Genomic DNA, 26,856 nt, shown 5'->3' on the forward strand with positions numbered 1-26,856 from the left:
ACACACTAATCTTCAGAACACCATAGCCATTTCTTTAATCTGATGGATGCCCTCGCATGATGCCTGTCTTCTCTGATCAGAAATGACATTCTTAACATCAATAGATTCTTAGACTTTTCTGACAGGAAATATTTTTGAGGATATGTAATCAGTTATGGGGTATGCTTGTCAATACATTTTTCCTGCAAAAATAAATCAGAAATCCTATCAAAATAGCATTATGAAAGAATCCATTTCCCTTAATACTCCTCATGAAATGGTCATGCCTGAAGTTTCTGAGAATTTTTATTTAGATGAAGGTTGTGTATTTAATTTATATACTGGCCATTTTTCTAACCAGCCAATCTGCATAAATTTCATATCCTAAGCAGGAAGAAAATGGTTGTGATCTGGAGCCAGCCTCTTCCTTATAAAGCCTGCATCACCTTCCTTTTCCCTTGGCTAGCCTCTTCTACTTTCCAGACCCTGTGAGTTTCACCATAAACCTTCTTTATTCCCTTCCGCTACCCACATACATGCACACCTAGCCAAAGAAAGAGAAACCAAAGAAACAGAACCTGTAGGGATAAATAGGGATATCACTCTACAGTGCCCCTTTGCTTCTCTTTGCCCTTTTCTGGACAGGAGCAGATAGAATTCATTCCTCTTCCATTTTGAAAGTTTGTCTGTGCCTATTCACTTACCCACTCATTTATCCATCCATTCATTCATTCACTGTTCATCTGTCAGGAACAGTGTTACAGACACCGTGCTGGGTTCTGTGGATAAAAAGACAAGTTCTGGCACTGATTCGTAGAGTTTACCCTGTCATTAAAGGGATGGTAACTGAAAGAGTCATGTGGCCAGGGTCTTAAGAGAGTTGTTAACAAAGGCTTTGGGAGCCCTGGGGATGGAGAGGAGACCACATTATGCCTTCCTTCCTGGGGACAATAGCCATGTGCCTGAATTTGACAAGAGTAGAGTCGGAGGCTACTGGAGCGGGTGAGGTGAAGGGTGGGTGCCTGGATTGTTTTCCTGGCAGTGATTTGGGGCTGGACTGATCCTTGTCAGTGAGAAGTCAGGGTGCTGCCCACTCATCCATGCCAATGACTCAGATACCATAGGAAAGTGGTTGACTCACCTGAGCTGAAGGTCTCAGTATGTTCTTCATTTCCTAGATGAAGCCGGTTAGGATTTGCTGAGAGTCTGCTCCCAATGAGGCTGGGCCTCCTTTGTGCTTCATCCTGTTTCATAGCACCCCTTTGATTTAGGTGTAATTTCTTCCACAGATGACCAAACTGAGGCTGACGAGGGTTATGTAACACCCCCAAGATCATCCAGCTAGTAAGAGTAATCAGCTTATAATGCAAATCCCCACACATTGTCCCCTTGGAGGGCAAACAATTTTTATTCAACTTCCAATTTTAACAAAATATACACTAAATAACTAATATCATAATAAAATACAATGCTTGTAATGCTGACAATGACTGTTTTTCAGTTTGACAGAGAGGGCAACATCTGCAAGAAAGTTCTGCCAAGATGAAGCTGTGTGTGTCCCTAATCCACATCACTCAGGGCCACTGTCTGTGGCCACACAGGTTGTGAATGTGGCCTCCTAGAGTTAGTTGTAACCTGTAAGAAGTAGCTGTCACAGGCCCAATCTTGGAGTCAACATCAGTCTGCATGCTGTGCCTCCACTCATATTAATTACTACATCCAAGTCACTCTCTTACTTTAAAAGGTTGGATATATTTAAAGGGGATGAATGGGGGTAAAGTCGTAAACTGCGTAATTATTTCAGTATATGTTATATACTGTCACCTAGCTGTTAAAGATTTCTACTTCAAGTATAGTGCAATTAAATCGGGCTTCTTACTGTTGTGCTTTGTCAAATGTTTACATACCTACCGACACCTAAAGGTACAGAAAATTTTCCCAAGCAACCCAGTAATCACTGGGGAATGATTTCAGGAAGGAAAGAAGGGAAATATCCTTTTGTTCTGTCAGGTGTGTGGGACACTAGATGACAGAGATGGTTAGAGACCCTTACGAAGATGTTTGCTGGGAGGGGGCTTTCCCCTTTGTCCAAATCATGAGCATTCTTGTCCGCAGTTCCTTTCTTCAGACCCTCATCTCCCACTATACTGTCGCACTAAGCTCCACCAGCCCCTTGTCTATGGCCATACAGACCTGGATCACCTGTCTTCTACATCTAAACCCCTCAGTGGCTTCCTAGGTTCACAGAATAACATTTAGATTCCCTAGGATGGCATAAGAACTGTTCTCCCCCACCCCCAGTGCCCTGACCCCTGCTCCCCGGGCCATTTCTCTAGTTTCTCCTACTTTGCACACCATAGCAAGACCTCTTGCATTCCCCACAACAGAATGGCTGTTTCCTGCTTCTGGGCCTTTGGTCATGCCTGTCACTCTGTCTGTCCTTGATTGTGTTCTTCCCCTAATTCTGACTGCTGCAAGCCCAGGAATGAGGAGTCCTGCTGTAGATGGCATGCTAGAATGTGTTCCATCAGTCTTCTCTCACGCCACCTGTGAGATGGCTTCATGGCACATACCTGTGTAGGCCTGTTCCAGGAAACAGTAATATAGCCTTAGTGGTTTTGTGTATTTGACTCTCCAACATCAGATGTGGTGCCCACTGGCTAGCTACAAATGACTGTTGAGGAAATTAGTGAATGAATGACTCTCTGGGAATGTCTTTGTTTGGTTTCTAGAAGAAAAAGATAAGCATAACACTCTGTACACTACAAGGTGTTTTAGCTTTTTTGAAATTCACGGGGGAAACAAAAGCAAAGCCTCTGATTGACTAGTGATTCTGGATGATGATAAACTGTATTTCCCAGGAGTGTTCTAAATATCCATGCAAGAAAAGACTGGGGTTTAATGAGTCCCTGCTTTCTGTAGGTACAGATGACATGTCAGGCTAATTTTGGTCCCTTGGGGATTATGAAGGCCTGGACCTTCCCATGAGCTTGGTTCAGGGCCTTCCCAGCAGGTCAGAGCTCATGACATCAAACAAATCAGAGTTGATACCTGAGCTTTTGAGGCTGGTATAAAGAAGATCCAGTCTTGAGAGCAGACTTTGGCATTAGATGTTGGCTGCAGTCTCTTCCTAGTAGGTACAGGCTTTGTAGGAGTTCCTGAAAGGGGAACGGGGACTATAGCCTTATCTTGAAAATCAAAACAAACAACCCAAATGACAACAAACTAACATTTCTAGAGCACTTAATATGTGCCAATCACTCTGCAGAGTATTTCTGAGAGAAGTCATTTATTCTTAAGTCTTGTTTCCTTAGCATGATGTATATACCCTGAGGCCTACACATGGTTTTTTAGGATGCCAGGAATATGTGTGGAAGGAGAAGAGGGGGAGGGAGAAAATGAAATAAAGATGGAGTCTACAATTCATGCCCATATTCTTAGGTAAGGACTGCAACCCAGCTGTTGTCAGTATGAGCTGGTAATTGAACTTGAGTCTTAATTCTTAATTTAAAAATAAAATGAATTGTCATTTGTGTTAGTTTTTCTAGTCTAAAACTATTAATACAGCTCTTCTACAGGTCTTAAAAATTACTTGGGTGTATTTAGGGATTGAGCAAATGAGTAAATGGGTTTATATTGTAGAAGCCAAGGTTTTCACTGAAAAAGGATGAAGATACAAATATGGAATAGAGGGAGGCAAGAAAGAACCTGCAGGGATGAATAGGGATATCACTCTGAACTGGTGATTTCCAATATATGTGTGTTTGTGGCAAATTGATATACGCATGTGTGTATTTATGCACATATATGTGCACATGTTAAATGCATGTATTTCATTGTTCCATCTACTGGAAAGGTTGAGAATCAAAGATACTCCTCTAATAAGAGCATACCTAAGCACCTGTATCTGAGTTTCTAATGTCACTGCCCCTCTAAACTGAACCATACTCCTGGAATGGCTAATTTCAGGACTGGTGCAAGATGATCCTGAAACATCTTATCAGACAAGATAGTAAAGAACTGCTGTTAAAAAAAAAAGAAAAGAAAAAGAAAGAAAGAAAGATCACAAGAACCAGTACGAAGGGGCTCTTATTGGTCAAATCTGGGACAGTTTGAACACCAAAATAATAAAGTAAAGTATGAACTATAAACAACTGGGGAGGAGGAATTCATCAGCCCATAATGACAATGGGTGGATAGAAGGAAAGATGGATGGATGGATTGATGGATGGATGGTTGGATGGATGGATGGGTGCAGGGAAATATGGAAGACTCCTGCTTACCAAATGTCAACTAAGTAATAAATGTGGATGGGTGATAGAGCAGGAAAAATCAGCATACACCACCATTGCAGTAAAGATTATGCACAAAACTCAACGGACACTAATTCCAAACAGAGATTTAAGAGGAACAGGACATTTACATACTGATGAAATTGTCTTTCACAGATTGCTTTAGTATAATAGAAAAATAGTAATTAAGTGGAGAAATTGAACTATACTTTGATCAGGATCAAAATTAACATTATCATTGAGGGGTAAGCAAACATCATGTGCCTTCAGAATATCCTGAGAACAAGAGAACATCACCTATTTGGGATTCTGGCCAAAAATGTATAACCTGAATCTAATCATGAGGAAACTTAAGACACATGCTTTATTAAAAAGCAGGAAGAGGAAGAATTGTATCCTTCCAAAGTAGCACTACCATAAACAAAGACAGAGGAAATGGTCCTGATTAAAGAAGCCTAAAGAGGTGTGGCAACTAAATGCAATACTTGACTCTAGACTGGATTCTGTGCTTGGGAGTTTGAGGGTAGGGAAGGTGAATACCATAATGGCCATTATTGGATCATTTGACCAACTGGAGTATAGATGGAGATTAAAGTATCCTATCAGTGTTCAGTGTCCTGAAGTTGATATATTTGCATATACACATACACGTGTGTATATATATACATACATATTGTTTTCTCTCTCTCTTTGTATATGCATACACACACAAAACCAATGGATGAACCTGGGTAAAGAGTGTTAGTATAAACAAGTAGTGTTTATACTATTTGTCTTCTTGCAACTTTTCTGTAAGTTTGAAATTATTCTTCAATATTAAGTTAAAAATTTTTTTTTTAAATCTTGGCCAAATAAATGATTGTTTTTCAAATGAATATTTTTTATTTTACGTCCTTTCTTTTCCTGTTCTCTTACTTCTTTTCTTCCTTTTTTGTGTCCCTTCTTTTAGAAGTCCAAGGCTTGCGAGAAGGTCATTTCCGTGGGTCAAACGGTCATCACGAAGCATCGGAACACCCGGTATTACAGTTGCAGAGTGATGGCTGTGACATCGCAGACCTTCTATGAGGTCATGTTTGATGATGGCTCCTTTAGCAGAGACACATTTCCTGAGGATATCGTGGTAAGTAGGCTTCCTTGAGTGCCTGCTACCCAGAGTAATTTAAAAAAAAAAACCAAAGTAACTGAGCCCTTCAGAATTTTTCTTTTGGCTTTTTGAGTAGCTCATTCACTTGGTTCATAGACTTTATCATTCTAAATAATATCCAGGTGAACTTAGACTGATCTTCCCACATTCTTTTTTTGGCCAAACGTTATTTGGCCAAGAAATAAGGGAGCAGCCCTCACGACCTAATCACCTCTTAAAGGTCCACCTGTTAATACTATCACATTGGCAACACCTGAATTTTGGATGGGACCTATTCAAACCATAGCAGATATGAATCCACCTATTCTTTCCTGTTACAAGATGTGAACAAATTTGAATTCTTTTATGACTTTCTTTTCTTTATGCTTAACTAGAGAATGTGGCTTTGATTAATCTGACTCGACAGTGTATTTAAATCTTTGGATATTCCACATGGGAGTAACAAAAGTCACACAGAAGAAAGGCTGTGGCATTTAAGTAGTTTCGTTACTGTGGCGGAGACTAGAACTCTGTGTGTGTGTGTGCGTGCGCGTGTGTGTGTGTCTGGCTGTCTTGTTGGTCTGTCTCCATCTCCTCCTTCCTCTGTCCCCTCAGCAAACACCTTGGGGCTCATTCTGAGGAACTAGTGAACGTGTGCCAGGGTAATGACTGACTTTGTTTCAGGGCTTGCTTTTTAGAAGGGTGTTTTCACAAGAAGAGCACTTTCCACAGAGGGTTTTTTTTGACACCGAAATCAAATCTCGTGACTGAGAGGAGAGTGAGTTAGTCTGGTGCTGATCCTGTTATCCCTTCTCCTTTCGGGGGGTGTGTGAGTTTGGGGAGCTGACCCTTAATAATGTAGTCATCACTTCTGCCTCATTCTGGGTCTCTGTTGATGCTTTGCTTTTGTTTGTATTTGGAAAGATATTTTCAGCGACTTTTTAATAGTCATAATTGTGTATTATGTGCACTTGAAAATTAAATGTAACCTTTTGAAATTGCTAAAGACAGTTTCTAGGATTTTGGTCTCCAGGTGTTGAAGAAACATTGATTCAGTTAGTTTTGTTATACTTACCTCTCTCTATGCTGGTAAGAATGGCAAGTATATAAACAAAAGTGACCTTATTTGAAAGATTTTAAAGCAAATGAATGTAAGTTATTTAAAAATCCCAGAACAGTGAATTGTGTTTCTTACCAGGGTTCTAGCTGGAGTTTCCCTTTACTGCATTGCCACTGTTATTCATAAACAGCATCCCTTAGGTGACATACTCCCCTTGTTAGAATTAGTCATCCCTTCAAGCACTCAATCTGCATTCACTGAATACCTGCTGTGTGTCACTTACTTACCACACTAGGTGCTGGAAACATAAAGAGAAAGAAGATGTAATCCTTGCTCAGTCTTGGTGGGAGGTAGGCGGGTAAATGGATGCTTTCTCTACCGTGGACCCATGTCTAGAACCCATGTGGTTCTATACTTGAACTACAAGCAATCTACCACCTGTTGGGGCTGGAAGAATAAGTAACACTTACTGACATTTACCATGTTCCAGGCACTGCTCCAAGAACTGGAACCATGAACTCAGTTCATCCTCATAACCCTACACACTAGGCACTATAATTTTTCACATTTTGCTGTTGAGGAAACTGAGGCACAACATGGTGAATAATTGTCTCAAGGTCACACATAATTAAGAAGTTTCAGAAACAGTATTTGATTACATGTAATCCGTCTCTAGAACTTCCACTCTTAACCCTGGGGAAGAAAGGACATTTAAAGCAATAGGAGAAGGGATATGCAGGAGCAAGAGAGGCATGAAAAGCCATTGGTAGAATGAGGCCCCTGGACTTTCACCAGCCCTGTGCAGGCTACATAGTTGTTTCAGAATTAGCCTTCTCTTGTGAAGACTGTGAATATTGAGCTGGCAAAAGACAGAAGACCTTTTGGTGAGGAACACTGTGGTGGTGGGATGAAAGACTTCTGAGCACTAATTTCAAAACCTGAGCACAGTTAAACAGGTAAAACAGTGAGGTCTTTAGCCATGATAGGAATTAATGAACCCTAAATTCTCTTTTACATCATAAGCCTATACACACCATGCCAGTTTGAGGCTTTCCTGGAATGTCTTTACATTGGAAAAGAATGTCTGTGATCCTGTAATGTTTGAAATCCTGCAAGTCTTTCCTTTGACACCCTCCATTTCCTTCCTCTGTGAACCAGAACAAATATGATTTTAAGTACACTTGAGTGTTGTGAGAAGAACACAGAAGCTAACCCGCAGAAGAGTTTTCTGGAGCGCATGCCATTTAAATCAATGAGAATGAAAAAGCAAAACTCTTTACAGCTTGGTTAGCTGTCACTTAGCATTTTTGATAAGGATTTGAGGCTTAACAGCAGTTGCATATGCCCATGTGGCCACAACTGTTGCCCTGGAGGGGGGCAGGTACCATGGAGTGGCATGAATTCACATAGATTGGAAAGGACGCATCTATCTAAATGTGGGTGAATAGTAATGTCTTTTTTTTCTTTTTTCTTTTTTGAGACAGGGCCTCATTTTGTCGCCTAGGCTGGAGGGCAGTGGTGTGATCACAGCTCACTGCAGCCTTGTGCTCCTGGGCTCCGGTGATCCTCTCGCCTCAGCCTCTTGAGTAGCTGGGACCACAGCCCTGTGCCACCATGCCTGGCTAATTTTTTTTTTTTTTTAATTTTTTTGTAGAGATGGTGTCGAACTGCGTTGCCCGGGCTGGTCTCAAACTCTTGGGCTCAAGTGATCCTCCCGCCTCGGCATCCCAAAGTGCTGGGATTACAGTTGTGAGCCACTGCCATTGGCCTAATAACTTCTTCAGGAAAAAAACAAAACAAAAACTGAATTCATCTTTGTGCAGGTCTTCTCTATTTTGTCTGATCTTTCCTCCTTTTGTGCTCCCCACTGCAATATCCTAATCTCTTGCCTTCTTGGTTCCCCGTTCCAGGCTCCTAGTAGGAATAATTCAATCGTGTTGTGTTTCAAGTTCCATATACTTTCTAACAGTGTCACCGTTGTTAGCTGCTGTAGCCTCTTCCCTCTCTTACTTTGGTGATGAATGAGGCTTCCTCAGCTCACTATTGCTGACTCTATAGGGGAAGTTTTTTTCCCCTTATAATATTGTATTAGGCAGGGTTCTCCAGAGAAGCGGAACCAATAGGAGATACACTTGTAGAAAGAGATGATAAGGAATTGGCTCTGTGATTATGGAGGCTGAGAAGTCCCAAGATATTTTTGTAGAGATGGGGTCTCACCATGTTGCCCAGGCTGGTCTTGAACTCCCGGGCTCAACTTAATCTTCTGCCTCAGCCTCCCAAAGTGCTGGGATTACAGGCATGAGCCACGGTGCCCAGCCCCACACACCATTATTTAAGTCATGGATTTAATTGCTAAGATCATCCCACTTCCACTTTTGATAATTCATCTACATCAGAACTGTTGTCTGGGAGATGGGTACCCTGCTCAGTACCCTAATGGAAAGTTTCATCAGGACGTAAAAAAAAAATGTAATCAGGTTTGTTTCTGTCTCAGTATCTTGAAGATCGTGGCAGAATAATTATATGGTGAAAACACTAACTACATTTCACATTCCTCAGAGAAATCTTGTTTTCATTAGGTGATATACCTGTAGCATGAGCAACTGGTGGTAGAAAATGATGTTTTTCTTCTGTTTGTCCAAAAACTCTCTAATCCACACAATGTGCATATCAGATGTGAGTGCCACTGGGAAGAATTATTCATCAAATTATTCATCAAATGTAGTGTGACCCCAATGTTACTGGCTACTGAAGAACTAGTTCTCTAAGCCTCAGGTACTGGTTAACTAGAACTGCTTTAAGGGTACAGTGCAATTTCAGTTTCCTATGAAAATCAAATTTAGGATATCAAGTTTAATCATCCCAAGCTATTTATCTATGTATGACACAAATAGAGTCCCTTATGGAGCCTGATGCTTTAGTAAAGAAAGTTACATTCCCATATTTATAGAGTTGATGATTACAAATCATTTCATAAACCCAACAGATGAGAATCCTTTAATGCAGGCTGGCCTATCCATGTTTGAGAATTTTGGCAGGCGTTAAAAATGCTTACGTTAGCGTTATGTGACTGGAGAGAGCATTTGGAGCAGTAAGGAGAAACGCTCTTTGAACTATCAGGAAATGTCTTTCCCTACCTAGGTACTTTATTTCTGTGCTAGCCAGAAAAAATGTGCAAAAAATTCTTTCTCAACAATGCACCTGCAAAATGTGTGTATCAGCCCAGTTAAACTCCACATGCAATCTGTAGCTGTCAAGGGAAGTAATAAAAGGTGTATTATTACACACCTCCATCTGTCAGTCTATGAAATTGGGACACACTTCTGATGAATTTTTTTGCCTTCCACTATTTTGATGGGCATGAAAGTTGCCCACCTGAAAGTACTCAATGAGCATAAAGATTCCAGGGTCTCTGTTAGCCTCTGCCAAAACCTGGGATCCTCTAGCATGCACCTGTTTACAGTAGAGTGATGACTGCTTCCTTTCCTCTGAACTTTGAGCTCACTTTGAGGGAGGAGAATGGTACGGTGGACACTTGAGTTCTCACTTAACATTCACCACTGGGCATGAGAAGAGAAACAGGACCATTTAGAAATTTGATAGCAGGAGTCCATCACTGAAATTTCCATGAGGACTGGCTACATTTTTCAGCTTTGGTTGAAATGTGAAAGAAGCATGAAAACAATACTCTTCAAGATTCTGGGGGTGAGTAGTTATGGCCTTTAGTTTTGAGGGCTGTGCAATGCAAACTGAGGTTCTTGCAGCCAATGTTTTTTTCTCACATAAAGGCAGTTTGCTTAAATTTTCCAGCCCCAGTTTTTTTCCCCTACTAATTTGAAAGGAGCAAATAAACTAAATGCCTGACATATAGTAGGAAAAGTCCAATTTTTTAGAATATTAACTTTAGTATGTAGAACTTTTTTTTTCTTTTTCCTTCCCATCTAGTTTATACTAACCTTTTCTGGTCTTGAAATTTGGAGTTAGAAGATGTGTCCTCAGAACTTCATGCCTACTTGTCAGATTAGATGAGAACCTGTACTTGTGAGATTTTGCTGGGTCCATTTATCATTCCCACTTGCTATAAGGTAGTCCCAGCATCTTTTAGACTTTATAATAGCCTAGTTCCCTACATTTATGCTTGTGTTTTCTGAGTGTATTTTTTCAGTGTTATTTCAGTGGCTTTCTGTAACAAACCCTGCTCCAGAGTAAGTTCACACTCATTTCACAGACGTGTTACTTGCCAAGTCGCACAAAAGCTCCTCAAAATACACGGTGACAGAGGTAGGTCCTGATTGCAGGTTAGTCCCCTTGTTCCATTGCTTATTGCCTTAGAAGTTCTGCTCTTTGTGGCTTAGTGCAGCTGAGGTAGAAGACGCTGTGCCTGCTCTAAGGGAAAACACAGATCCAGTAGGACATGGTGTAAAACCCGTTTCAGTGTTGAGCCCCGCACAAGCCCTCGCTTGGCAAGCATAGGTGTAGGAGAGATCTGGGTATTCCAGAGGCAAAAGAAAATATCCAAGTGGGTTTGAGAAACTAGAACAGAGTTGTTCCCAGAAACGTTCTCTACTGTGGGATCCCGGGAAACATTGTTGGATCCCTCTTGCCTCCTAGATTTTGAGGTGTCCTAGATGTTCAGGTCAGGTAGCCATGCATATATGGCATTGGCAGATACCCCTTGTCAGTGAGCTCACCTCAGCTTTGGAAGCCCTGTCCCATCCCAGACCATTTGTGTTATGTGTGCTCCAGAGGGCTGCCCTTCTCCTCTTCCCTCTCCCCCTCCCTGCCAGGAAGTTCTGGTTCTTTTGGAATCAGTGGACATTTGCCAGAGAAGGCTTTGGAAACTTTCTTTGGTTTAGAGGTCTGCAGGCATGGCCCACATGGCCTTTCACTCTTTAGGGTTCTCTCGCTTTTCTATCTTGACTGTGGAGTTGGGAATCCGTGAGATGAAAGGCTTCACCAAATTCCAGTTAATTTTTAGTTACGAGGGAAACCTTTTATACATGTAAAAGAGTGTCTAAATTTACTTTTCTAAATGTTTAAATTTATCTGACAAATTTTATTTATAAATCTAATATTTGCATAAAAAAAGAACAAACTCATTTGTTCCTTGATTAATGTTCACATGATGCATAAATCAAATCCTAACCGTTATGTTTATGTAGCCAAATTTCCTTGGACATTTTAACTATGATTATAAATTTAATATATACATTTCTCACAAATGTCACAATTTTTCTAGGCATTTAATGCCCATAACTTTAATAAATCAGACATTAGTTAGCTTGAATTCTCCTATTTCAGACATTTTCAAAAACAGTATGTAAACCAGTATAATATTTACAGAACACAGATGCACCTTTATAAACACAATTTACATAAGATCGATAGATAAGTAGATAGACTTTGCCCAATCAAGGGGAAACAATATTACCATATTGGCTAGGAGTCTACTAAGAAGAAATAATCATAGAATCTGAAGGCCATTTTAGAGGCATAGAATCTGGTTATGCCTTTGAAGAATAAACCTGCAGTTATTGGGCAGGGGCTCCTAATTAAGGTCAGGTTTCATTTGATTCATCAACTCTGTAAACCTTGTGCCTTTCACTGGGGTCCTGACTAGTCTTACAAGTTTCGTGAACTGTCTCTGAAGTCCATGGAGGTGGTACTTCCCAGGTCCTAGAATTTTATTTCCTTTTGTGTAACTCATATGACTTTTTACATTACAGCCTTGGACATAGGAATGAAATGTTGAAGCCTTTACTCAAGTTGCAGTTGCATCTTGTTCCTTTGTTTTACGAATTGTGTGTGTCTCACTGACCCCAATTCTGTAGGCATCATAGCGACAGTTTCCACTCATCACTGGGGATCCTCTGGAGAAAGTATGTCGTTGCCCTGATGTCCCATGCAGGAGATTCAGTAGTTGCCACAAAGACAGACTGACAGTTACGTTTTTCTTCAAATATATACCTCCCTCACTTGAGGGTATTTCTCTTATTTTCTGTGCTGGCAGTTATCTCAAGGTGATTGGCATTGGGAACTTATTCCCAAAGGACAGGTTCCTGGCACTTCCTTCCCACTTTTTTCTTTCCAGGAGAGACTCAGGTATAGCATTTCATCTTCAGCCTAAAGAATCAAAATAACTACCTTGAACTTGAGAGCAGTGTTATTAATTTCCAGGACTTCATCATCTTTTCTCAGTGCTGAATATTCATGGGTGAGCCTGCTTAAACCCATGGGCAGCGGGCACCATGAGCCAAATCCACTCCATGTTTGGGAGTATCCAGTGATGTTGTCCGTTCTGAGCTATGTGTTGAACACTGTGTTAGGCATCATGGGGGATTCAGAGATGTGTAAACACAGATGTAGGAGGAGTGACATGGATGTTCTGGAGGCAAAATACAATACCCAAGGAAGTTGGAAAGACTAAGAAAAAAGCCATTCCCAGAAACTTTTTCAGCTATGGGATCTTGGGAAGCAATTTTGGATCTTCGTCGGTGTCTACACTTTGAGGTGCTCTGGAGTTTTGGGCCAAGTGGCCAAGACAGTGGCAGACATCTCTCATCAGTGAGCCCATCTCAGCTTTGGGAAGTCACATCCCATCCCAGCCCACTGATGTATTATGCTGCTCCACACTGATGCAGTTATACTCCCTCACCACCACCAGGAGCTCATCTGAAATATTTTACAAGAAAAACACCCAGTGGAGGTTATTGACAGTAAATTCGGGGAATGAAGCAATTGTGATGGGCCAGAGTGTTTAAAGAAGTCACGTTGAGGAAGAGAGATGTCAACTGGGTTACTGACTTAGAAGAGTTTTTTGTGTATTCTAGATACAAGTCCTTTTTCAGACGCTTTGCAATGTTTACTCCCTGTCTGCATAATGTCCCATTTTATAGTATGAATATAACACATTTTGTTTATCCATTCACCAGTTGATGGACATTTGGATTATTTCCTGTTTGGGGCTATTATAAATAATTCTGCCGTGAAATTTGCTTTCAAGGCTTTGTATGGACATGTGTTTTCATTTCTCTTGGGTAAAGACTTAGGAGTGAGATTACTAAGTTATATGGTAAGTGTGTGTTCAACTTTATAGGAAACTGCCAAACTGTTTTCCAAAGTGGCTGTGCCATTTTATCTTCCCACCAGCAACATTTGAGGTTACAGTTTCTTCACATCCTCACCAACACCTGTGTTGTCAGTCTTTTGGACAATAACCATTGTAGTGGATGTATAGTGTTATTTCACGGTATTGTAATTTATGTTTCCCTATTGACTAATGATTTGAGCATCTTTTCAAGTGCTTATTAGCCATTCATCTGTCTTCTACGATGAAAAGCCTATTCAAACCAGTAATATATTTTACATTTTATTGAGTTTTCTTATATTGAGTTGTGGGAATTTTTTAAATAGTCTGTACATATCCTTTATCAGATCTTTGATTTACAAACACTTTCTCCTGGTTCGTGTCTTGTTTTGTCACTTTCTTAATAGTGTATAAAGAGCAAAAGTTATACATTTTGATGAAGCCCAATTTGTCAACTTTTTCTTAATGGATCATGTGCTTTAAAATTTGAGTTCATGAAGTTTCATGTCCTTTCTAGGTAAAGAATATTTTTTCCTCAGAGCTCTAGCAAGCAGCTCCAGGGAAAACTCAAGCCTTCAATGTTTTAGCTTTCTTGTGAGATTTATTTATTTTTTAAATAAATCAGAAACCTCTCTTTCTATAGATATGTGAACTTTCTTTAAACGAGGAGATCTCTGGCCCTGAAAAACTTTGAAACCACTGGTTCAGGTGAAGTCGATCATTACCTGCTATTTCACTGCCATGAGAGTGAGAAGTCTGTCGTGAGAGAGGGTTAAGGGAGTCAGGGCATTGGCGCACCTGCTGGTCCCCTGTGCCAGCCTGAGAGCAGAACTGTTGGGAAATGTCTCCAGTGGCCTTGGCAGGCTTACCCATGAATGTTCAGCACCAAATTATGAATATCCATGACATCATATCTAAATGTTAGGGTAGGGCTGAATCAACTTCCATTTAATACAAAATATAAACATTATGAAAATTCTTTGTTTCTTCTAATAACTAACGTGGCCAGATGTCACTATCACTTCACATCGTAATATCAGATTGTCACCATTCATTATTGACCCTTCGATTACTCTTTAAATGAAAATGGTACGTTAGCTGCCTATGATGCAAAATTTTACACTTTTAAATCGTTTCTTGCTGTAATTTTATTTTTATCTCAAATCTAGATACCATGACTAAGTGTAGTATAATCAGGTTGCTATATGCATGTTTCAGAAATGTCTGAAATTTTCCAGAGCTGACCTTTCCTGTAGCGCATTTGTAAGCACAGCTTTCTGCATACAATTTCTGAAATATATGGCGAATGGCAAGAGCTTCCTGAGGCGAGTTGTCAACAGGGAGCTGCCTGTTTACAAGCCATTATCTTTCACCTCTATCCAACCCCAGGTGCTAACACCCCAGGATATAGCACATAAATTGGTGACACATCCCAGAAGATATGAGGCCCATAAATCAATGAAGAGTTTATGTTCCTTTTCGACCATGGGATTTAAATTATTTTGGCAATAGAGTGAACTTAGATTCTTATTCGATAGATATATCCAGAAGAAGTCAGTACTATCTACTTATTGATGAGCAACATTACCTTCATTTTATTATTTCCTTTTTGTACCTTATTTAAAAGAAGTTAGTTAATTTTCATGGGTGAGAAAGAACCAGTAATAAATCTTGCCTTTTGCATTATTAAATAAATTATAATTTTGAGGTCAGAGTATGTGGGCAAATGGAGAAGAGGAATGATAGAAGAAAAGGCAGAGAGAATGGAGTGAGTGTATTTTTGTCCTTCAGTTTCTAATCTTCCCTACAGAGAGTGTTCTATGCTAAGAAGTGAGTGAAATGCTTGGAAGCTATTGCCTGCTATAATGCTTGTTGGTTGTGTGTGTTTCTGCAAATCAATTTCCCTCTATCATCTAATTTTTTGCCTTTTATAAAATGGAGGATATATTTGAAAGTCTTCTGTGCTTTAGATGTTTTATCCAATACCATTATAGAATTTTATATTTGTATAATGTTTAATTTCTTCTAAAGGTTAAAATAGTACAATATGTTGAATAATGTTATATGCATAGTTTTCAGATCAAAGTAGATTTTTCCACGAGTAATTAAAGCTGGTGTGATCTGTGCCTGAAAAAGATCTCTTTTGGGCCAGGCACGGTGGCTCACACCTGAAATCCCAGCGCTTTGGGGCACCAAAGCAGGAGGATTATTTGAGTCCAGGAGTTTGAGACCAGCCTGGGCAACATAGAAAGACCTCTTCTTTACAAAAAAATTTAAAAAAATTTAGCCAGGCATGGTGACGTGTACCTGTAGTCCTAGCTCCTTGGGAGACTGAGGCAGGAGGAACCCTTAAGCCCAGGAAGTTTGAGGTTACAGTGGGCTATGATCACACCATTGCATTCCTGCCTGGGTGACAGAGCCAAACCCTGTCTCTAAAAAAAATAAAATAAAAGATGCCTTTTGTAGATTTATGACTAACAAATCAGCAAAAAGGGAAGGGGTAGTTAAATTATGCATACTTCCAGTAGCATAGTTATATTTGTAGGTTATGTTTTTAAAACATGCTAGATATTTACTCTTTCTAGCCTTTAATTAATAATCTAGGCCAGGCGCAGTGGCTGACACCTGGAATCCCAGCACCTTGGGAGTTCGAGGCAGGCAGATGGCTTGAGCTCAAGAGTTTGATACCAGCCTGGGCAACATGGCAAAAACCCATCTCTACAAAAAAATTTCAAAAAATTAGCCAGGCATGGTGGTATGCATCTTTAGTCCCAGGTACTCAGGAGGCTGAGGTGGGAGGATCACTTGAGCCTGGGAGGCCGAGGTTGCAATGAGCTGAGATTCTGCCGCTGCTCTCCAGTCTGGGTGACAGGACCAGACCCTGTCTTAAAAGAAAACAAAAAAATAAATAATCTGACCCAATGATTGCCTTATGTGTTATATTATCATTCTTTTCCCCTGAGTAACAGATAATATTGAATCATCTAAAGCAGCTTCTTTGATTTACACCATAAAAGAAAGTGACTGGCACAAAACAAGCCAGGCTTTAGTCCTTATGTTCTAAGCAGCCAACACCTGAAGTCATGTTGAAATACAGACTATAAGAGAACTATGGAAAGAATGTGGATGTGAGTGCCATTGATATTAAGTGAGACTCTAAAATTATATGTATATATATTGTAAAGACTGTCTCATCACACTATAACCCTTAGACCAGGCTGCAAGTGGCCACACTAGACCCTGTAACTTTTCCTATTTTGTTCCCTACATGAATTTTGAAATAATTTATGTATCGCATATGAATTTAATATTTTCCTTACAGTTTTAAAATGTATTTCAATACTAGTAAAACCTTTTTTCTATATTATTTATGCTGGAACTTTATCTCATATCATTATGTAAGCAGTGGTAGTTGTCTGTATGAGTCTGCAGCAACCTCAATTCTTGCTGCCTCAGAAGACAATAATTTGACTCAGGGGCATAAGGCAGAAGGAGAGACTGAGGCAAGTTTTAGAGCAAGAGTTAAAGTTAATTAAAAAGCTTTAGAGCAGTAATGAAAGGAAGGAAAGGACACTTGGAAGAGGGCCAAGCAGGTGACTTGAGAGACCACATGGGCAGCTTCACCTCTTGACTTGGGATCTTATACACTGACATACTTCTGGGGCATTGCATTCCTTCTCGTCACTCCTGAGATCTTATCCAGAAGCTGCTGCTCACCAGTTTCAGGTGTTTCCCATGTATTAGGAGACAGCCTTTCCCTGGTGCCAGCTGTGACCAATTATTAGTTTAGCGAGACAGTTAACAACCTGACCATCACCTGATGGTCGCCCTACACTCCTGGTGTATGTGGCAGGGGCTGAGGAGGCCTCTTCCGCCCTGCTCATACCTGACTGACTATGTACTGTAACAACTAGTTGTGTTTGTACAGGGCTTTATGTTTGTTTTGCTTTTTTGTTGTTGGGTTTTTTTGTTTTTGTTTTTTGTTTTGCATGAAATTAAAAGGGCAAAAATGTAACCAGTGTCTAAGAGTAGGTTCCCTCCAGGAGAAATCTAATGAGGATGAGGAAATAGTATGTGTGGTGCTCAAGTCCTCTTTCTTCTTAGAGTTGGGGACTCATAAAGATGGGGAAGGCTAATGCTTCCCATGAAGGCCCTTCTTTTGGTAGATAGGGAATTCCTGCAGGGCTGGCCTTGATAAGCCGCATCTGGGTACCTGCATATGGTCATACATGGATTCTCTAGTCAAGAAATACCTTATCCTTCCATGATGGTAGCCTTATGCCCCCAAGTTTTCTTACAGTGAGCACCTACTACATGCCACCCATCATGCTGGGTTCTGGGAAAATGATAGCAGTAAAATTCGAATGGTTTTTGATCTCATGGAGTTTACAATCTAGTGGGAGAGAGTGACATACGCAGCATGTATAAAAGATGTGCTTCGAATTGAGAGAAGTCCTGGGATGACAGGAATATGATCCAGTAAGAGCATGTAACTAGAAATAAACATCTTATCTAGATGGGTGATCAGTGCGACCTGAATGAAGATCTGTAAGGTGAGTTCACTAAACACAGGGCAGAGGGAAGGCAAGTGCAGCTGCTGGAGGAGGTAAATCATGAGCCTGGAGAAGAAGGAAAGGGCCAGACTGGGTGGGGCCTTGAGGCCATCTTATAGGGTTGGGGTTTTATTCTAAAAGCAGGAGGAAGCCCCCTTGGACTATCTTGAGCAGAAGTCAAAGAGATTTGTTATGAAGTAGGTTTTTTTTGGCTCTAGTGAAAAAGAATTGGAAAGTCCACAGGGGTGTCCAAAGAAGAGAATACAGTCATGGGTTCTTAGTTTCTATTTCTGGTTAGGCCAGTAGAACCCCTTTCTCATCCCTCTTTTCCCATTATCACTAGAGAGAAACTAAAAAGGATGGCTTCAGGCTGCTAAAATACAGACTATAAGAGACTATAAAAGCCTAAAAACAAAACAAAACAGAACAACAACAACAACAACATAAGGTGGGTTGGACAAGCTTGCCTGAATACTGGGAGGCCAGTTAGGAGAATGTTGCAGTAAATCAGAGGAGAAATGATGGTAATTTGGACTAATTTAGGATCTGAAATATATTTAGAAGGTAAAATCAAGAGTACCAGGTGATGGATTGATAATGGGGGCCAAGGAAGAAAGATGTGTCAAATATAACTCCCAGGATTCTGGCTTGCTCAGCCAAGTGGAAGGTGACACCTGTCATTGAGATAGGGAACTTCGGAAGAAGCCCAGACTTCCAGGCCCAGGATGATGAGTTCAGACTTGGTTGTGTTGGAGTTTCTTCCCTTCTGCTCTGTTTTATACACCTAGAGCAGTTACCATAATTTAGGGCCATTCCAAGCCCCCTGGTTTGCAAAGCATAGTTTTTGTTGTTATTAGGTTTTTTTTTTTTCTTTTTCTTTTACATAGAATGTAAGGGATGCTGAGTGAAAAGTCCCATGCCTCAATGTGAGAAGAGACATCTCATGTTTTAGAAGTGACGTGACCAGGCACTTCATCTCTAAATGGATGTGTCATCACACACACATAAACCCCATTAACTAACTTTCACCCATTTGATAAAATAGTCATTTTGCCCAAGAAATTCTTCAGTATGAAAATATATTTACCCTTTATGGGGCTTCCATCTTGACACACGAACATTTAAATTGAGCATTTATCCCTCTTGAATTTGGCTGTTTTAAAAATAAATAAATAAATTGAGCATATGATTACACATATGTAGACTTGGCCTCACTATATAGCTGATTCTAACGTCTCTTAATCCTTAGCTCTCTTCAGTACTCATTTGTGTTGTTTTGTTTCCAACCCTTTATTCTGTGCATGCAGCCTTGTGTGCTCTACCCCGGAACTTTTAATCCCCCTGTTTCCTTTTTAAAATTTTCATAGAGATGGGGTCTTTCGCTATCCAAGCTGTTCTGGAACTCCTAAAGCAATCCTTCCACTTTGGCCTCCCAAAATGCTGGGATTACAGGTGTGAGCCACCACAACCAGCCTAGTTTCCCTTTCTATTCAGTGGCTTTGCCTCCCCTCCCCTGGGCTCCCTCATCATGAACCAGTGTAGAGGCTGATGCATCTGCTATGTTGCCCTGAGAAGAGCTGTCATTTTCTGAAGGAGATGGACTACATGACTTACCGAGTCTTGAACATCTCTCATTTTGAGATTCATTTACCTTTTTTAAAGGGAAAGAATAGATGACTAACTTTGGTAGATAAAATGTGTGTGGTTAGTGGTAATAATAATAATTAGCAACTAATATTTAATAATTGTAGATGTACAATGTTTTGCATAACATACCCATGGCTGGCTAAAGTCCCAAGAAATACAGAAGGATTTAAGATGAAAAGTGCATTCCTGCACCTCCCACATCTGGAAATCACCGTCTCACCTGCTTCTCATATATCCTCCCAGGATTTTAAAAATGCTCATACAGGCTGTGTGTGTGTGTGTGTGTGTACACACAATGTATTCATTTGAATGCACCTGGCATCATATTAACATGCTAAAAGCTAGGAATTACATCCTGTATATTGTTAATGTCATAGTTACTGTTAATTGGATGATGTTTAAAGTTTGCAAGCAGGCCCATCTCCTTTTATCCTTTATCTTCCTCTACCTCCTTACCTACTTGTTTTATCACTGAAGTCCCACTCCCTCCCCTCCCAGCTTACTCTATAAAAGCTAGTCTCAGCTGTTCCAGTACCAGCATCGCTTATACTGACCCCACTTTCAGGTGCCCACTTACCCTGGGAGCCCCAACACTTTGGCATGTTTTGGTTTCCAGTTGCCTCTATACGCAGATCTATATCAGTGGGTGTCTGTTTCAAGGAAAGTAACTGAGGATGCTAACTAACCTTGTTACTTTTTTAGTAGATTGAAAAAAGATATCACAATTGAAATATTAATTGACCAACTATTCAGTGTTCATTAAGCAAATCAGATGTTAGCAAGAATCAGCCTTCAAATGAAGACTAATATCTGGTGTGAAAAGAATAGAAAAGCTCTTACTTCAGAGGTTCATTAACTGTCAGAAAAAGGGCATGACATAATCCTTGATGTGATTCTGAACCGGGCATTCCACAGTTGCGTGCATCAGTAAAGCGAAATTTACCACCCTCCTTTTATGTGTTTTTAAGCCTTGGTGGATTAAAAGCTCTTGTTTGGATAAATCTAACAATGGTGTGTTATCTACATATTATTTTCATTCTCCTTGCCTGGGAATCTACAAACAGCAAAATTCTTCTTAATTTCACATTAAGAATATTTTGATTTGACAGGTTTTCAACAACACAAGAATCATTTGGGGGAGTTTCTGACTTCCCTTTAAGCATAATAATGTTGACTAAATAGATTGATTCATTATCCACTCCTTAACCATCTTAGCTATCTGTCTGTCATTTTTGACAGAGTAGTCTCTGTTGAAATGCTGGTAGTAATTACACATATCCCTGTCTGCATAAGTCAGTGTATAATGAGCATGATTGGTTAACTTTATGCATTTACATTTAATCTAAAAGGAAGGACATGTTAAACTCACAGAGATAGAAGCTGTAGCTTATGTGAAAAGTATTTCTAGAATGGCATTGCTCACATTTTTTTACTGTGCTCAGGAACACATTTCCAGCTTTGAGGATATCCTGAATTACTTCATTTTTGCATGTATACTCATTACTCCTCTTTTTGTTTTTTTTTTGTTTTTGTTTTTGTTTTTTTTGTGTGACTAGGTCTTGCTGTGTTGTCCAGACTGGTCTCAAACTATTGGGCTCAAGCGATACGCTCACCTCGGCCTCCCAAACTCAAACTTTGGGAGGCCAAGGTGAGAGAGATTACAGGCATGAGCTACCATGCCCGGCCACTCCTCAGTTTCTGAATACCATGAGCTGATATTTTCTGACAAATCATATTCTTACAGGTTCTTTGGTTGGTCGTCACCTGGCTCTGCTTTTTAATCCCCTAGTTAAAATTCTCCCCAAGTGTTACCCATTTGCTCAAAACCTTGCACTGCTGGGCTGTGAAATGCAAGGTTAAATTATAGGCAGCTCTTGGGGACTTGTGACTGTGCAAGTCATTTCATTATTCAGCCCTTCCCTTTCAACTGGGGACATTGGCCTAGGGGATCTCTCAGGTCTCTTCCCATTCTCGTAGGGGAGAACAGCCATAGGTGATCTCTAGTCATCTCTGACTATAAACATTGGAATGTGGCCCCTGGCCCCACCATTCCACTCATCCGCATATACATTTCTTTCCCCTTTCCCGGATTCCTGGCGTGGAGCACCACCTGTGTGGTGAATGTGACAGGAGTACATGCTCAGTCAGCTTGGGTGAAGTGGAGAGTGAAAATGCTGTTCATGTGGACACAGCCTCCACACTGTAAGACGTGGCATGCCACTTGTATCAGAATATTACATGGAGTCAAAGGGAGCTAAGCTATTCTTAGGTCTCAGCCCAGGAGTGAGCAATCTTTGACGTATTTTTAGGCACCGTGATGTCTTTGCAGTTGTAGCTTTACCACAGAAGCTTTGTGAAAGCTTTTTCTACCACAGTGGCTGAGACCCACACACCTGTTGCCTTCATCCTTTCTATGCATTTTGCTTCACCCCTTTGCGCATCACCTGGCTGATTGAGTTAAACCAGCCTCCCTCTGGGCCCACCAGAGAATAAGGTGGTGCTGCATTAACAGGCCTCCTCCTCGGGTGTTGATCCTCAAAGGATGCTCCTCTCCTTTGACCAAAGAGGAAGCTGACATTATAGAGTTAAAGGTGCGTGGCCAGAGGGTGGCGGGGGAGAAAGCTAACTACGTGTCTGCGTTTGATTTTTTTCCTGCCATCCTTTTGCATATTCTCTATGCTTTGGTGAAGGAGGAGGATCACTAGAATGGGACTTGAAAATTTAGAAACCGTAGTCTCAGCCTTGCCCATACTTCTAATGAGAGTTGGACAGGCCATTGAATGGCTGGAAGTTCTGAGTCGCTGTGTCTCAGTTCAGGGGTGCTGCGTAGGTGAGACAGGCTGATGGGGGGCGCACTCCCCTCTCACCTCATCCCTTAACTGTTCATTCTTACCCCCACTCTGCTGTGCTCTATTTTTCCCCCAACTCCTCCAGAACTCCCACCCACAGCCAGACATCTCCTCTGCCATACCTCTGGTGAGGAGTTTTCAGATCCATTCTGGAACGCTGCAAATGACAGGAGCTCACTCTCAATTTTTGCTGCAATTGTTAGGAAGCAAGGGCTTCTTTCTGTGAAGTCTAACTGCTGCCTCTTCGGAACACCCAGGAGCCTTCCTAGTTCTCGATCTCTAGAGCAAAACTGAATAAACACACTCTCTTTCGCTTAAGTTTCTTAACATGTTTGTGGAGAGGTCTCAAGTCCCTGCTAAGTCTTCTCAAATCCAAACAATACAGTCCTCATTTCTCAGTCATGGGGCAGGAATGAAGGATTTAATAAACAGAAAGTGGTTCCTGAATGCTCTTCCTCCAGGACACTCTGAGGATGAAATTTTCTTGGACAGTGTCCCACTGAAGATGTTGCTCTCAGGTGTGGAAACACAGTGCCCCAAACACAATCTGGCTAGTGCAAGCATGACGGCTCTTTGTTCCTTTGATCTGGACATTGAACACTTACCAGTGCAGCCAGGAGGAAGGTTAAATGAATTATTTATGCAGCCATTAAAATCATGTTTTCAAAGGATATTTAATGATGCAATATAATAAATGGAAAAATCAGGCACAAAATTGTATGTACAGTAAGATCCCAATTATGTATAAAAATATAAATATGCAAGGGAAAAATCCTCAAAGGAAATACATCAAAATGTTACTGATTATCTTTGGAGAGTGTAATCATAGGTGATTATGATTTTCAACTTTATCACCTTCTTATAGTTTCCATATGAACGTGTTTTATTTTTATAATCAGAAAAAGTTTTTTTAAAAAAGATCTTAACCCTTCTGAGAACTACTTATATCCTTACTCTTTTCCCCTAATTTTCCTTATCTAGATCTTTACAGATTGCTTTGTCAAAATTTCATTTTTGATCTCTAGCTCTTGTGGCATCTTGAAGCTCTCTGGAATATAGGAACCATATAGTTGCCAATAATCTGTCAAATGCTTCTGCTTTACACTGTTATTCCTTATGTAGGAGTTCTTATACTTAATTTTTTTTAAGTCAATGCCTGCATTTTCCAATGAAGCAGTTTCTATGAAGTAAAAAACTATATCTGTTTAACTCACTACTCATTCCTTTGTTCCCTAAAACACGAGATGCTTGAAAATTCCCAGGTAAGTGAGTGACAGCCCCACCCATCTACTTATTAGCCCTGTGGCCTCAGGCGAGTCACTCTTCTCTACCAGTGCTGGAGGATGTTGACGCTTGCCTGCCTACCCTACCAGGCTGTTTCAGATTCCAATGAGGATAACAAACACGATTGTCCTCTGTAGTTCTGTGTTCTGTTGTAGCCTCCTTTCTCTCGTAGTCAGGGTTCTTGGCTTCTCAGTGTTTCCTTCACTATTTTTAATCCCAAAGGTGGCCTCCCAAGGGTTTTGTCTCCTCCCTATCCTCTAGGTATATTCCTGTTGATGGGAATTAAATCTAGATGTGATTCACTCAATATTCACTAGCTGCCAGGAATTGGGTTTTGCTTTTCTGTTCTCTTCTCTCATTCTCCCTGCAAGATTGCATTAATATCGCCATTTGATTAATGAGAAAACCAGGACATAAGGTTTATTAATGAGAAAACCAGGACATAAGGTGGTTGAGTAGCTTATGCACAGTAATGGGTTTTCTTTGACTGTGAGTGGCCTGACCCCAGATCTTGGAAGCAGTACATGCATCACTTCAGTGTGAAGCGTCCTGGGTAGGTCAAGCTGTGCTCCCAGAAGTAGAACAAACATTGCAGAGCAGAGCCAGAGCCTTGGAAAGCCGGACATATAAACACAGGGCAGCCTTCTCTCCCCTGCGTGCCTATCCTTAGCTTTCCTTTCATCTTTCTTTTTTTAGCTTTTGGAACTGACATGTATTTTTAGAAACCACTACAGAGAAATTCACCCCAAGCCTGTCTTTCTCCATTTTGCAACATAAATTTTTATTGACATAGTAAAATATTTTATTCCCCTCATACATTTTAGTCCCTGCCAACAACAATAAAAAAGGGGAGAAAATCTTTCCTATATAGATGGAGCTTTTTTCCCCGTGTTTGGGGGTGAGAAGTTAAAGTCCTGGGGTGTTCTACAGGAGGACACAGTGAGCCCTGGGGCAGTCATCAGGGCCGATGTTGGCTCTCTTACCCAGGTAGGAAGAGCTACATGTGTGGCAGGCAGACCCAGGGTGCTCCTTGCTCTGCTAATTAGCTGTGCAACCAGGCAAGGGAGTTGACACCAGTTACCTTATCTGTAAATTGGAGATAGTAATGTCACAGGAGCCTTAGGGTGTTGCTTTGCCAGCTGGAAACCTCTGTGGCTGGTGGCGCCTCTGCTTGAGTTTTGCTCATGCCCGCTAGGCTCGTTCCGTCCACTCAGCCCAGCAGGCTGTGCTCGGCTCATGCTACTGGCCCGGATCCCGTGCCTGCCAAGGGCAAGCCAGGCTTGGAGCGGCGAGGTTGTGTGTGAGCACAGGGCCAGGCCACTGCACACAGCAAGGCATGCCAGCTGTTGTGGTGGGGTGGGCAGCTCCAGGTGCCGGCTCCATGTGAGGCTGTGGCTGGACCAGATATACGACAAGCAGCTTCTGCTGTGGATATCAGCATCCGGACAAGGGGAACATGGTGGCGCCCAAAAGCTTGGAGACGCCAGGAAGTGCAGAGCCCCAGAGAGGATGTTACAGTGTGTTACAGCCCTGGCTTGGGGAACCTGAAGGTCTGGGCTCCCAGAAGAGCTGCAGCTTTTCTCTCCTCCTTGCCCACAGTGCGGTGAGCCGGGGGGCCATGTTTCAGCCCATTTGTGTTACAGCTCTTTCAGTACCACCACCCCACTTCAGCTTGCAGCTCATGGGCTGGCCTGGCCCCACAGCTCTTTCCCGTTGTGTGGGGCAGCTGCCCAGTAGCAGTGGAGAACAGGAGGGCTGTAGTGTTACGGCAGCTCTGGCTCAGGGAATTCCAAGGTCTGGGCACCCAGAAGGGTTGGCACTCTTCACTGCCACTGTCTGGGAGTGTATCACTGCCTACAGCTTGGTGAGGCAGCCAGGAACGTGTTACAACCCATTTCACTCCCACCATTTGGCAGGTCCCAAGTTCTTGTCCTGCGTCCAGGAAGAATGAGATTATGTGGACAATTGGAGGGTGAGCAAGACAGAGAAAGGCTTTATTGGATGACCGAACACCTCTTAGTGGAGAGGAGACCTGAAGTGGGTAGCTCCTATCCACAGGCAGGTAGTCCCAAGGAGTGTCTGAGTCCAGCTGAGTCTGGGGTTTTTATGGGGTCAGAATGGAGGAAGTGCTTGCTGATTGGTCCATGGATGGGCCTGGAAAAAGCACCACTTGATTGGCTAAAACTTCATCAAGGAAGTTCTCACTCCCTGTTGCAGACTTCACCCGGAATTGGCAGCCCAGCCCCAGGCTTCAGGCCATCCCTGGCTTGAAGGTGGGGTTTCACCAGGGATCCCTCCCATCCCTCCTAATAACCTGTCTGCCTTTTGCCGTCATCAACTGCCACTTATGGCACCCAGGTTTTCTGCACCAAGGGGCACTTGCATGCCCATGCCGAGCCGCCCTCAGGCCCCTTGGCCTCACTCCCGTGCTCCTCAGCACCCAAAATGTCAGCCTCAGAACTAGTTTCTGGAGGTGCTGAGACAGTCTGGGGTCTGGTGTGTTAGTGCCATCCTGAGCATGCACACGCCCGGCTGGGTCGCTACAGTGCCTGGGCTCAGCTATCAAGACACGATGGCAACTTTGTTCCACTGCAGAGTGCATACCAGGAGCGGGGAGAAGCCAGGGAGTGGAAGCAGGCACTTCCGAGCCTGCCGGGGCAGGGGCCTTCCTGGGACCCTGAGAGCACAGGGATGCCCGGGTCCAGAGCCACGGCTGGGCAGCTGCAGCTGCACCTGGGAGCATGGGCTCCCGCCCTGCCAGCTCAGTAGGGCACGGGGCTCCCACTGGGATCACCTGTTCCCAGCCCCCATGTGCAGCCTTGGCCATGCCTCCCTCGCTGCAGCTGGCATCCTCACAGTGGCTGCTTCAGACAGGCCGCCGCCACCAGTAGTAATGAATACTGGAATTTGTGTTGGGATTATTGAAACGTAATGCATAAAGCAGTTAGTGTGGTGCCCAGCACATAGTAAACAAATGCAGGT

General features: G+C 41.9%; 1 protein-coding gene across 18 annotated transcripts in view, besides 2 other annotated features; it reads left to right on the forward strand.

Moving 5' to 3' along the window:
• Positions 1 to 26,856, forward strand: part of KDM4C (lysine demethylase 4C) — a 454,786-nt gene that overhangs the window by 401,983 nt on the left and 25,947 nt on the right. For 16 of the 18 annotated variants that reach the window (NR_148680.3, NR_148679.3, NR_148677.3 and 13 more), the window contains one exon: positions 5,221 to 5,391. The exons of the other annotated variants lie outside the window; for them this stretch is intronic. Coding sequence is in view for 12 of the 16 variants with exons in the window: in NM_001353999.3 (NP_001340928.1) it covers positions 5,221 to 5,391 (171 nt within the window). In the remaining 4 variants the exon portion in view is untranslated. The remainder of the gene's footprint in view (positions 1 to 5,220; positions 5,392 to 26,856) is intronic. 18 annotated transcript variants of the gene reach the window in all.
• Positions 24,854 to 25,355: an enhancer, noted in NCBI's record as "H3K4me1 hESC enhancer chr9:7147699-7148200 (GRCh37/hg19 assembly coordinates)". NCBI's record gives its function as "activates a minimal SCP1, AML or CMV promoter by ChIP-STARR-seq in naive and primed H9 embryonic stem cells {active_cell/tissue: H9 hESC(naive and primed)}" and the evidence as "EXISTENCE:reporter gene assay evidence [ECO:0000049][PMID:30033119]".
• Positions 25,356 to 25,855: an enhancer, noted in NCBI's record as "H3K4me1 hESC enhancer chr9:7148201-7148700 (GRCh37/hg19 assembly coordinates)". NCBI's record gives its function as "activates a minimal SCP1, AML or CMV promoter by ChIP-STARR-seq in naive H9 embryonic stem cells {active_cell/tissue: H9 hESC(naive)}" and the evidence as "EXISTENCE:reporter gene assay evidence [ECO:0000049][PMID:30033119]".

The sequence above is a fragment of the Homo sapiens genome, chromosome 9 (assembly GCF_000001405.40).
Source record: "Homo sapiens chromosome 9, GRCh38.p14 Primary Assembly".
Taxonomy (NCBI): Eukaryota; Metazoa; Chordata; class Mammalia; order Primates; family Hominidae; genus Homo; species Homo sapiens.